This window comes from Homo sapiens, chromosome 4, assembly GCF_000001405.40.
Source record: "Homo sapiens chromosome 4, GRCh38.p14 Primary Assembly".
Classification (NCBI taxonomy): Eukaryota; Metazoa; Chordata; class Mammalia; order Primates; family Hominidae; genus Homo; species Homo sapiens.
This window is the reverse complement of record NC_000004.12, coordinates 3,720,718-3,732,501: the sequence shown is the minus strand read 5'-3', so window position 1 is coordinate 3,732,501 and position 11,784 is coordinate 3,720,718. Positions and strand designations below refer to the sequence as shown.

General features: G+C 59.6%; 5 annotated features.

Annotated features, from left to right (window-relative positions):
* Window positions 3,027-3,766: an enhancer, noted in NCBI's record as "H3K27ac-H3K4me1 hESC enhancer chr4:3730463-3731202 (GRCh37/hg19 assembly coordinates)". NCBI's record gives its function as "activates a minimal SCP1, AML or CMV promoter by ChIP-STARR-seq in naive H9 embryonic stem cells {active_cell/tissue: H9 hESC(naive)}" and the evidence as "EXISTENCE:reporter gene assay evidence [ECO:0000049][PMID:30033119]".
* Window positions 6,536-7,337: an enhancer, noted in NCBI's record as "H3K4me1 hESC enhancer chr4:3726892-3727693 (GRCh37/hg19 assembly coordinates)". NCBI's record gives its function as "activates a minimal SCP1, AML or CMV promoter by ChIP-STARR-seq in primed H9 embryonic stem cells {active_cell/tissue: H9 hESC(primed)}" and the evidence as "EXISTENCE:reporter gene assay evidence [ECO:0000049][PMID:30033119]".
* Window positions 8,141-8,943: an enhancer, noted in NCBI's record as "H3K4me1 hESC enhancer chr4:3725286-3726088 (GRCh37/hg19 assembly coordinates)". NCBI's record gives its function as "activates a minimal SCP1, AML or CMV promoter by ChIP-STARR-seq in naive and primed H9 embryonic stem cells {active_cell/tissue: H9 hESC(naive and primed)}" and the evidence as "EXISTENCE:reporter gene assay evidence [ECO:0000049][PMID:30033119]".
* Window positions 10,272-10,772: an enhancer, noted in NCBI's record as "H3K4me1 hESC enhancer chr4:3723457-3723957 (GRCh37/hg19 assembly coordinates)". NCBI's record gives its function as "activates a minimal SCP1, AML or CMV promoter by ChIP-STARR-seq in naive H9 embryonic stem cells {active_cell/tissue: H9 hESC(naive)}" and the evidence as "EXISTENCE:reporter gene assay evidence [ECO:0000049][PMID:30033119]".
* Window positions 10,773-11,273: an enhancer, noted in NCBI's record as "H3K4me1 hESC enhancer chr4:3722956-3723456 (GRCh37/hg19 assembly coordinates)". NCBI's record gives its function as "activates a minimal SCP1, AML or CMV promoter by ChIP-STARR-seq in naive H9 embryonic stem cells {active_cell/tissue: H9 hESC(naive)}" and the evidence as "EXISTENCE:reporter gene assay evidence [ECO:0000049][PMID:30033119]".

The window sequence follows — 11,784 nt, the reverse complement described above, 5'->3', positions numbered from 1 at the left end:
ATGGGCAGCACGCTGAGTCGTTGCCACAGGCCTGGGGGTGGCCACTCCTGGGGTGAACATTCCCTTGGGTGGCAGGCAACAGGCCTGGCCCGGCTCTCTTTTCTGTTTCTGCCTCTCCATCCTCTGTAAGCCCAGGGAGAAGAGGCTTCCTCCTTGTGCAGTGGGGATGATAAAAAAACAGCCCCGCCGGCTCATGTTTAGAAAAGTGCAGGCGAAGTTTCCTTGGAAACGACACCTGCTTTTCTCCGGCATGGAGATGCACCTCCTCGCCAGGCTCCCCCGAGCACCAGTGCAAACAGGGCTCCTGTTGGGGCCTGGCCCCAGCCCCAGGTTGCTGGCGAGTGTTTATCTAAGCCCCCGTCTGTAACTGGCAGCCACAGCTCAACGAGAAATAAGGGCATGTCCTCATTACTGCTAAATGCAGCTTGAAGAAGCTCATGGCTTTCCCTTATTTGATAAAACAAGAAATCGATCATAAGCACTGCTCTCAGAAAATCATGTGGGCCCTGGGAAGGGGATCCAGAGGAGCGAGGCTTGGTCCCTTCCCCTGGGGAGCCTGCAGCCCAGCAGGGCATCCCAGCAAAGCAGACGCTGGAGGCCGAATCTCAGAATGCAAGAGAATGGACTTCCTCCACCCCAGCCTGCACTCCGGAATCGCAGAATCTGAGCACCTGAGGCCAGGGCACCCTGGAAGCATGAGCTGTTAGTCTCAGAATGTGAGGATACTGGAGGCTCAAACCCTACAAACTCCTGAGTGTGTTTATCTCAGAAGACTAGAAAAACCCGCTCAACAGCAGGGCCAAGAGCCGGGAGGCAGGCACCGGGCTTAGCAAGCATCCTTCCCCACCTCCAGCTTGCCTCTGGACTTCACCGGAGGCTCCTGGATTCCCGTGGAGCCCACCTCTGTCTCTGTCAGGCCAGGCAGAGGTCACAGGGCCAGCCTAGGCCCAGCATCTACACTTCGAATGACGTGGCCAGGAGCCATGGGGGCCATGAGAGCCATTCTGCCTGTGTCTGGACTCTCCACGGCCACTGGCTCTCCAGTCAAAGTGGAAGGAGACAGCACTGGCCATGAGAACTTGCCGCTTGATAACATTTATGCCTAGTGTTTCATTATTGGAACGCTAAGCCTGTGGGAGTTATTTATATCCAACTGCTCAATGTCATCACCAAGGTCTGATTTTTTACTCATGTAAACATTTTAAAAATTGCAACCTCAAGCATAAATGGGTTAAACCCAGAAGGGGCCTAGGGGTGATGAGATGGGCCCTTGTGAGCTCCCAGCCCTGGGCAGAAGAGCTGGCCTGGAGATCCCGGCGGACATGGCCATGATGGCCCTGAACCAGCAGCTTCCTTAAGAGTGAAGGGGCTGACGGACCCCCTACTCCAGGGCCAGGGCCTGGCCCCCAGGGAATTGCAGGCCCCCCAGCTCCTCTCTGCCAGCTCATCCTGCCACCTCCCACCTCAGGGCAGGCCCGGGAGGTTCTGTGGCAGGTGGTCTGTGCACAAAGCCTATGGCACCCTGCCAGACTGTTAGCTGTCATGGGAAAAGAACAATGTCACAGGGAACATTGGTGACAACTCAGGGTGCTACAGGGCCATGGACTGAGGGCGGGACGGCACTGCTATGTATCTATGCACATGTATACAGTTATTTATTTTCAAATGTCTTTAGAGCAGTTTTAAGTTCATAGGAAAAATGAGCAGAAGGTACAGAGTTCCCAAACCTCTCGTGCCCCCTGCCCCCACCAGCACCTGCCCTGCGCCCCCTGCCCCCACCGGCACCCCCGCCCTGGGGCCCCAGCCCCCACTGGCCCCTGCCCTGCACCCCCAGCCCCCACTGGCCCCTGCCCTGCACCCCCAGCCCCCACTGGCACCCGCCCTGTGCCCCCAATCCCCACCGGCACCCACCCTGCACCCCCAGCCCCCACCGGCACCCACCCTGCACCCCCAGCCCCCACGGGCCTCTGTCCTGCGTCCCCAGCCCCCACCAGCACCCCCCACGCCCCCAGCCCCCACCCTGTGCCCCCAGCCCCCACTGGTCCCTGCCCTGTGCCCCCAGCCCCCACCAGCACCCGCCCTGGGCACCCCCAGCCCCCACCGGCACCCTAAATGCCCTGCATGTCCATGGCACTCAGCATCCGTGGAATGTAAACCCGACCAGCTGTGCCCCGAATTCCTGGGAGCCAAGGGGAGGACCTCCCTGCAGGACACACTGGGGGTTTCCTAGGTTTGAGGTGGTGCAGGGGAGCATGAGAGGGGGTCTGGCCGGAAGATGAGTAGGGCAGCACGCCCTTGGTCCCCACCCTCATGAATAGAAGGGCGAGCAGATGTGGCCCCAGGAACCAACACCACCCTGGAGTCAGGGTCAGAGTCGGGGGCCAGACTGGAAACTCACCAGAGCTAGGGCCACTCTGCTCCTCCCCATTTGTCTCTGGATAGGGGGAGGGTCTGGGTGTGTGCTCGTCCTCCAGGACCACACCTTGGGGTGGGGCCACCGCATCTCCCCTTGAGGTCAGGGTAAGAACTTCAACTTTCAAACAGGTGATGGCAGTTTGAAACAAGGTGGAAATGAGGCCACCCAATCTGAGGCCCTGTGGGGCCCCCCACCATCCTCTGAGCTTCCTGGGGGCCAGGCCCAGTGGGGGCTGAATTTGGGGCATCAGTAATTGAGCTTTTTGCTATACAAGGAGGAACGGGGCAAGAAGCACGTCAGCTGAACACTCTGGAAATGAGAGACTAAGCACACAGGAATCCCAGAGCTCCAAATAGTCATCTGCTGCCAGGTCTCCCGGCATCCAGCCCTGCAGTGGCTGTTCGCCTGGGATTGATGTGAAACCTGGAGCCGTGCAAGGACGGAAATTCAGTCTAAACAGTCGTTAGCATCTCTACCCCTGAGATCGCACAGAGACTGGATGATCAATTTTTCAGTGACTTTAATGGAATATTATCTCCTTCTCCTTTGAAATCAATTTCACCAAGGCCAAAGCTCTGGTTAGGTTAAATAGCTATTGAAATGCAGGAGACAGAATCAACCAACAAGCTTTCTCAGAACTGAAGTGGGAGAACAGGGCAGATGTCAAAGAACTGGGGAGCCATGGATGGTTCTATGGTCTCAGGAGAGAGCAGGGCCCATGAGTTATTCATCAATCCTTGACAGAAGGGTGGTGAGAAAATGCTAGTAATTGCCTGTGCGCACCTGTGAGTGAGCGGATGGATGAATGACTGAGAGTGTGCAGGAAGTGAGCTTGTTCACCCGATCATGGGTGTGGCAGTGACCATGACAGTGACAGCAATTGCTTGCCTGCCTCAGAGACACAAAGTGAGGATGAAGTGATGCCAGAGTTCCCCAGCTCAGCCCCCACAGCCCTCTGGGTCACCATCGGGGATTCTGAACCCAGTTGGGTGTTGTTTCCCATGCTGGCCCAGGGACCGCCCCGGGTGGTGTTGGATCCTGGGGCCACATCTGCTCGCCCTTCTATTCTGGAGGGCGGGGTCCGGGGGCGTGCTGCCCCACTCATCTTCCACGCAGACCCCCTCTCATGCTCCCTGCACCAGCTCAAACCCAAGAACCCCCCAGGAGACAGACAGGATGCAATGGCCAAGATGGCGAGTCAGGCAGAGCCCAGCAGCGGGTCCTGTCCCTGTCCTGGGGAAGCTCAGCCCTGGGGGTGCCCGTGTGCACAGACGGCCCCTTGCAGGGCAAGCCGCAGTGACACCCACGGGAGGGGAGCAGGCCCCGTGCCCTGAGAGGTTCCCAGGGGAAAGCTGCTGCCCGGACGATTTTTTTTCAGGCATCAGGAAACTCTTCCGGTGTTTTCCTGATCCTCACACCCTCTCCCTGGGGACAGGAATGACGGCCCAGGCCCGACCAGGTGCCCTGGGCTGGGTTTCCGAAGCTGGGCCAGAGGTGGGGCCAGGTGAGGGGAGCTTCTTCGAGGTGGTCAGGACCCTAGCCTTCGTGTCTGACCAGTGTGGATTCTGATGCCACCACTCATTGGAAGGCCCTGGGAAAGCCGCTGCCCGCCGTGAGCTGCGGGGCTCCCCTTTGGGGAGTGAGGGGGTGGCCCCATCTCTGGGAGTCCAAGGAGGACAGTGGAGACAGAGGGTGAGAGACGCTTGGCCACCACACACGGGGGGAGTCCAGCAGTGGGATCCGGGGGTGACTGGCAGGGGGAGGGGCCTGGACTCTGTCCTGCTGTGTCCCGGGAGGCTGGCTGGGCTCCAAGGCTCCCCGCAGGGGGCACCGCTCAGCATGGGGGCATTGCAGAGGAAGGGATACTTGGACAGCCAGACTTGGGGGTAAACCTGTGGGAGCCCCACCCCCACTGGCCTTCTTGTGGGGATGGCAGGATTCAGGGCCCTCCTCCAGGCCTGCAGACGGCCACAGCTGGTAGCCAGTGCTGAGGCAGGAGCGGTGGCCCCCACGGTGGGGAGGGACTGGGCCCTGAGACCTGGGGAGCCCCAGTCCCTGTGCAGGGAGAGGCTGGGGGACGTGGGGCTCCCCGCTGGGCTGTGCGGGGGCCATCTGCAGGGAGACCTCTTCGTGTTGCTTCTTGCTTTTCTGATGACAGAATTTGACCATTTCCACCATGGACATTTGGGAGAATGTAAGAAAAGGCAAAGCAAATAAAAATCATTTGCTGGCCGGGCGCGGTGGCTCACGCCTGTAATCCCAGCACTTTGGGAGGCCGAGGCGGGCGGATCACGAGGTCAGGAGATCTAGACCATCCCGGCTAACACGGTGAAACCCCGTCTCTACTAAAAATACAAAAAATTAGCCGGGCGTGGTAGCGGGCGCCTGTAGTCCCAGCTACTCGGGAGGCTGAGGCAGGAGAATGGTGTGAACCCGGGAGGCGGAGCTTGCAGTGAGCCGAGGTCGCGCCACTGCCCTCCAGCCTGGGCCACAGAGCGAGACTCCGGCTCAAAAAAACAAAAAAAATCATTTGCTGCGGATCACCCCACCCCTGCTGAGTAATTATAGGGGCGCAGCAGAGATCAGGGGTCTCAGGGGCCTGGGGCCTGAACCGCAGGGTCATGGCGCCTTCCGTCAGTGCTGCTTATAGAACACAGGAACTGAAGGTCCCCGCGCTGTCCACATGGTCGTGTGGCCTTGAAGTCGGGTGGTGAGACATGAGTGTCTAAGTGGTGTGTCCCAGAAACCGACTCCCAGACTCATACAAAGCTGGGGCGCTCCAGGGTGGGCCACAACCATCCTGGGGGGTGATGAGGACGGCTTTCTGCTGCTGTGCCAGCCTGAGACCACCCAGCCAGCAGCTCCCAGTGCAGGGTGGGAGGAGCACATGGCCGGCCGAGGGCCAGCGCCGACCCTGCCGCTCCCCAGGGCCCCTCCCTGTGAGTATGGGGGCAAGCAGAGGTGGTGTGCGTGGGGACACCCACCAGCATCCCGGGCGCTGACTGTGGGCTGAGGCTCCGGGGAGATCTGAGCACAGTCTGTCTCCGCCTGAGACCCTCCCCTCAGTTGTGGGGAGACATGGGGGGCAGAGGCTCAGAGGGGGACAGTCCTGCCTGATGCACTTGGCAACCTGCTACCTGGAGGTGGCCCCCAGAGCCGCTCAGCGCCCCCACCCCTCCACGCCAGCTGCGTCCCACTGACTCCACTCAATGGGGCCCTGCCGCAGGGTCCCCACACTGAGGGGCTCACGGTGGATGGGGAGGAAGAACCGCTGGAGTCACATGGCCGTGGGGAAGGCTGTGGGGTTTTTAATTCCCTGGGAAAAGCGATGAGAAGCAAAGCAGCTGGGTTAGGGCTCAGGGCAGTGGGGCGGTGGGTGGGGCATGTTTTGAGGAGTTTGCAGAGGTCAACACAACTGCCCTGAGGCAGGAGTTGACGTCCCTGAACTGTACTCGCAAGTATCTGAGCCCAAGATACCTAATTCAAAGCCTTGAGCCTGGAAGAATTCAGCCCTCCCTCCCTCTCTCTCTCCCTCCTTCTCTCTCTCTCCATCCCTCCCTCTGTCTCTCCCTCTCTCTCTCTCCCTCCCTCCCTTCCTCTCTCTCTCCCTTCCTCTCTCTCCTCTCCCTCTCTCTCTCCCTCCCTTCCTCTCTCTCTCCTCTCCCTCTCCCTCCCTCCCTTCCTCTCTCCTCTCCCTCTCTCTCTCTCCTTCCCTCCCTTCCTCTCTCTCTCCCTCCATCCCTTCCTCTCTCTCTCCCTCCATCCCTTCCTCTCTCTCTCCCTCCATCCCTCCCTCTCTCTCTCCCTCCCTCGCTTTCTCTCTCTCTCCTCTCCCTCTCTACCTCCCTCTCTCTCTCCTCTCCCTCTGTCCTCTCTCCCTCCCTCCCTTTCTCTCTCTCCTCTCCCTCCCTCTCTCTCTCCCTCCCTTCCTCTTTCTGTCCTCTCCCTCCCTCCCTCTCTCATCTCCCACCCTGTCTCTCTCCCTCCCTCCCTCCCTCTCTCATCTCCCACCCTGTCTCTCTCCCTCCCTCCCTCCCTCTCTCTCTCCTCTCCCTTCCTCTCCCCTTTCCCTCCCTCTCTTTCTCCCTTCCCCCGCCCCCTTCATTATGTCCTGGGGTCAAGTTGCTAAGGAAAGGGATATTTTTTACTTCTCAGGGCCATAAGGAGCCAGCTCAGGGAAGGGCAGGTGGGGGCCAGCCGAGATGCTCAGAGATAGCCTGAGACCCAACTCTCCCCACGACAGAACAGCCAGGGGAGGGCCGGGGGCTGGCTCCGGGGTGCCCATTGACGCCACATTCATCAAGGCAGGATGGCTTCATGGTTAGGACTGTGGCCCCTGACCCTGGCGGCCTGAGCCATGAAGCTCTGCCGCCTAACATGGGTTAGGTGCCCATCGTGGGAAGTTGCTGAACCTCCCATGCCTCAGTTTCCCCCTCTATAAAACAGGGCTGAGAATGACGCTTATTTCATGGGATGGAACATGAAGCGCCCTGGAGAGCAGGCACAAGGGCACATTATTCCCCCATGTCCTGGCCCCCGTTGCACACATCGGCCACCTCTTCCTTGCTGCAGCCGAGGCTGGGCGAGCCTTTGGTTTGGTGGAAAGAGAAGGCGAGGGGAGGACTTGGGTGCTGAGTTCAGCCCCTCAGAAGCAGCTTGGTTCTACCCACAGAGAGCCAGCCCCGGAATGTGCCCCCTGAGGCAGCAGCGTGTGGGAAAGGGTGGAAGTGGCCCCCCAGCCCCGGCGCTTGGCCCTGACCACCGCAACCACGGCCGGCCAGGCACATCAGCCCTGACTTCCAGTTCCCAGGCAGGGGCCACCAGCCAGGGCACGTTTATGTCAGTGAGGGTTTTTGTGGGATATGCAGTTCAATAAGCCCCCTGGGGCGCGTGCCTGGGACCGCTCTGCCTGGCGCCGGGGGACACAGGCTGGCCCGTGGTCCCGGGTACTGGAAAAGGCTGCGCTGAGCCAGGACGTCCGGGTCCCACCTCCTGCTCCCGTACGTCCCCAGGCAAATACCTCAAGCTCTCCCCGCCTCAGTTCCCTCCACTAGAAGCCGACCGTAGCACGGGTTGGCGCCTCCTTGATGCTTGGAAAGTGTCCCTTCCCCGCGGACCCTGAGTACCACCCTCCACAGGAAGAGGGCCAGGCAGTCTCCCAGGAAGGCCGGCAGGTGCCAGCCCTCGCACGCACGCTGTGATTGCGCCACACTTAAAACAACTTTTAAAATCACTATTACTCCTCTACTAATTGTGCTCATTGCTCATCCCTTCCTACCATCCTCATAAATCACATGTAATTGTTTTCGGCTAATCCTTTAGAAACCCATTGTTAACTCAGCTCCTCAAAGTGTCTGCCCACGCCAGTGTGGGGCGGGGCACAGCGTGGGGCAGGGCACAGTGTGGGGCGGGCCACTCTCGGTGGTTTGGGCAGGTGGGTATTTGGTTTTTGTCTTGGCTTTGGTGCTTTGATAGCACCTGGACGGATGCTAAAATTTCCTCTGGAAGTTGGAAGCTGGCGTCCCAGCCTCATCCCAGAGCCGGAGATGAACTGCCCGGTAACAACAGCCGCGGCCATCTCCAGAGGATTAATTGGGTGCGAGCTCCTGCGCTGGGCGTTTTACCTCATTTTACCTGCATTCTCTGCGTTAATCCTCACAAGAACCTGATGAGGAAGCGTCGTTCCGCATTTAATCACCCAGGAAGTCAGGGCTCAGAAAAGTGCCTGTCACTAAGAAAATCACTTTTTCTCCCTCCCGGCCCTCCCTCTTCCTCATCCCCCCAGCTCTCCTCGGCTGGAGCTGCAGGAGGGGGTCCCTGGCTCTCCTCACTCTGTCTCCTTGGCAGTGGGGGCAGCACCTCCTGGGCAGGGCTGGCTGCCTCGCCAGAGCCCCCTCCTGAGACCCCCTTCTTGGGGCACAGCTGCACCAACTGTGGGAGGGACGAAGGCCCCTGGGCGACGCTCAGAGCCCCACCCTCGGGGGCCGTGGGTGGAATTTTAAGCTCAAGAATATTCTTAAAAAGTACCCATGCGGTTAGTTAAACCTCCTAAAATAATTGCAGTCAAGCAATTACATCTTTTAAGGGCCTTCAGAGGTGCTAGGATCCAGGCTCATGTATTTCAAGACCAAAGCAAGTCATTTCGTGCCACGCCTGGGGTGGGATTGCTTTGGGGGCTGATCCTCTCTGTTCAACAGCTGCTCCCGGATTCAGATTCAGGATTCGTGGGGGTGCAGGGTGCAGTGCAGCCTTTTGTGATGACGCCCCTCCTCCTGCCAGCCTGCACACCTCCAGGCCAGGGCAGGGAGCCTGAGGATGAGCCGGGAAGGCCAGGAAGGGGGAGCGTCAGTGCTTTCAGATTCCCAGCAGAAGAAAGAGCAATTCTGCACAAGGCATTTTGGAGAAGTGGCTGCCTCCCAAAGCAAGGCCTGGCTGGCAGGGCCAGCTCCTGCCCCTCTTGACCACCTAGGCTGTCCTCTGCAGGGAGGGGCAGAACAGCTGAGAGGTGCAGGTCCTAGGGGCCCGCCCACCCCTGGGCCCAGAAGCGCTTTTGGGAGTCATTCCTCCCTCCTCTCTCTCTGAGTGTGAGTCTGGCATCTGCATCTTCCGTTCTTCCTCCCTCCCTGTCTTCCTCTCTGTCTCGCCCTCGCCCTCCCTCCCTTCCTTGATTCCTCATGAAACACTGTTGTGTGCCAACACCACAGGGCAGCAGTGATTCCAGGCAGCCCCGACCTTGGGGAGCCTCCAGTCCTGAGCTGGCAGACAGCAGGGTAGGATTACAGGGGATGGGCACAGGACTCGAAGTGGGTGCCTGCACGGTCCGGGGAACCAGGGGTGCTTCATAAAGCAAGGAGGCGGAATGTAAGATGACCACTCAGCAAAGGTCACCCCCGGCCCCCACAGCACCACTGGGAAGCTGTCTTGGCAGTAGGGCCGGAGGGTTGCCAGCGTGAGTATTCTGGGCCCACACCACAAGCATCTCCTGCCTCTGCCAGTCCCTCTACAAGTGCCCAGCCTCCACCATGAAAAGGGCATGACTGGCTGGTCCCCTGCTCCCAGCAGCAGGGACGAAGCACAGAGCAGAGGAGAACCCTCCGCCTGGAGCCCTGCCTAGCCCCTGCCAGCTCACAGACTCAAGAGCAAGAAAGAAACACTTTCTGCTGCAAGCCATTGTGCTGGATGGTTTGTTACGCAGCTTTCCTGTGGATAGAACTGACCCATGCAAGGTGACTCTAATTCTGGAACTTTCAGCCAGTAGGCCTGGGCTTTGGGGGATGAGCAGCCTGGACAAAGGGAATGGTGACCCAGGAAGGGGTGCTGAGCCTGGAACCAGGACTCTGAGCCCACCCCTGGCTCTGCCCACCCTGCACACTCCTCCCCACCCAGCCAGACCCAGAAGGACGCCCTTTGCGGCTGGAATCCAGAGGCCCAGGGACGAGTTTATCTGTGGGCCCAAGGGGCAGGGTCATCTGCAGAGTCAGCTAAGCCAGACTGGAGTTGCAGCAAGACCAGGGAGACCCTCCCACGGGCCCCTCACCATGGGCTCTGCTGTGGCCACACCCCAGAGCCCATCTCTCACCTGCACCTTCCTTTCAGGAACCCTCTTCTCCCCCAGTTCCTGCAAGAGAAGCCAGTTGCACCAATGGACTAACCCCAGGCTTCACCTGCCCCCACTTAACGGTCCATACCCCCCCACCCTCCACCCAGCCCCCACCTGACCCTCCACCCAGCCACCACCTGACCCTCCACCCAGCCACCACCTGACCCTCCACCCGGCCCCACCTGACCCTCCACCCCGCCCCCTCCTGACCCTCCACCCAGCCCCCACCTGACTCTCTACCCAGCACCCACCTCTGGACCTGAGCTCCTGGCCTTTCCTCTGCCTAGGAGAGTCATCTCTGCCCATGATTCCCCCCGCCCCCCGCCGTGGCCACTGCCCATCCTCAGGACCATGTCTGCCACTCTGGTAGGCAGCACTCCACCTGCATCTGATGGCCCTGGGCACTTTCTGCATGTGGCAGCTTGGTATTGGTTCATGTACCTGTGCATGGCAGTGAGCACTGAAGCCACAGGGGCCCTCGGACAGGTATGCACCTGGACTCCTGCAGTTGCTAGGATGCAGATTCCCAGGCCATGCCTCCAGAGAATCAACTGCATTTGACTCAGAGGTGGGACCCTGGAATCTGTACTCCTTGGGCCACATCGAGAAGCATTACCCCTGCCAGCCACAGGGCCTGGGTCTGACGCACCACCCTGCCCCCTCTCCTCCCGGGCGTGGAGAGCAGGCATTTGTCCCAGGAAGCTGGTCTCCTCCACCGCCAGAGCTCTGTGCCCAGAGGACATTCCAAGCTGTCAGCCTTGGAGATGAAGAAAAATGGCCTGGTTCCCCCCTCTGGAAGAAACACTCCATTTTGGCTTCCTCATTTGGAGAATGGGCTCCACCATCTTGGACCCCTGCCTGGGACCCAGGCGAGTAGAGACCACAGCCCCGTCCCTGCACTCCTGCAACTCTGGCAGATGGTGGTCAGCCCATCTCTCCCCGACACCACACACCACCCTGCTCTGGCCCTGGGGCACTGGCATTCCTTCAGGAGGTTGGACCCAGAGGCTTCAGGGCCCCTCCACTTTGACAAACCTGAAAGGAGACCTCTCCCAGTTCCCTCCCACCCCCAGCCCCCAGGTCCCAGCCCCACGGGAATGACAGACGGCAGGCACGGGCCTCCGCCTCCACAGCTGTCCCAGCCCCACGGGAATGACAGACAGCAGACACGGGCCTCCCCCTCCACAGCTGTCCTTCCCTCAGACCAGGTACCTCCTCTTAGCTCCTCAGACCCTAAGCTGTCACAAGAGTGCTGGGTGGCCCTCAGGACCAGAGTCTCCTGGGGCGATCACTGAATGTGAGCTTACTTTCTCTTCCCCGGGCCCCCACTCCCACCAGAGCTTGGGCTGGGCCATGGGGCACAGGCAGAGGAACCCCCCAAGACCAGGGCACAGGGCCCACCCCGAGACTGCATGACCACAGAGCACACTTTTCCTCGGAGCCAGGTAGGAGGGGGGTTCATGGCTGCAAACAGGGTCAACGTTTCCTTCTCCTGGGTTTTCAACACAGAGGAAGGAGATACAGATAGCACTGAAGAACAAAACTTGGTACCTCAAAATCAAATCCAGTTCTGAATAGCATTTGTTATTCAGCCGTCCTGCAGCTCTCAACACTGTGAGTGGAAATTTTATGTCTTGGAAGTGAGACCTTTTACTCCCGGGGCTCAGGCAGAAAAGGCCTGAATCATTCCACAACAAATTAACTCCCAATTAGCCAGAGCATCTCAAAACAACAAAGAAAGAGCACTCAGTGGATTTCCTCCACCTAT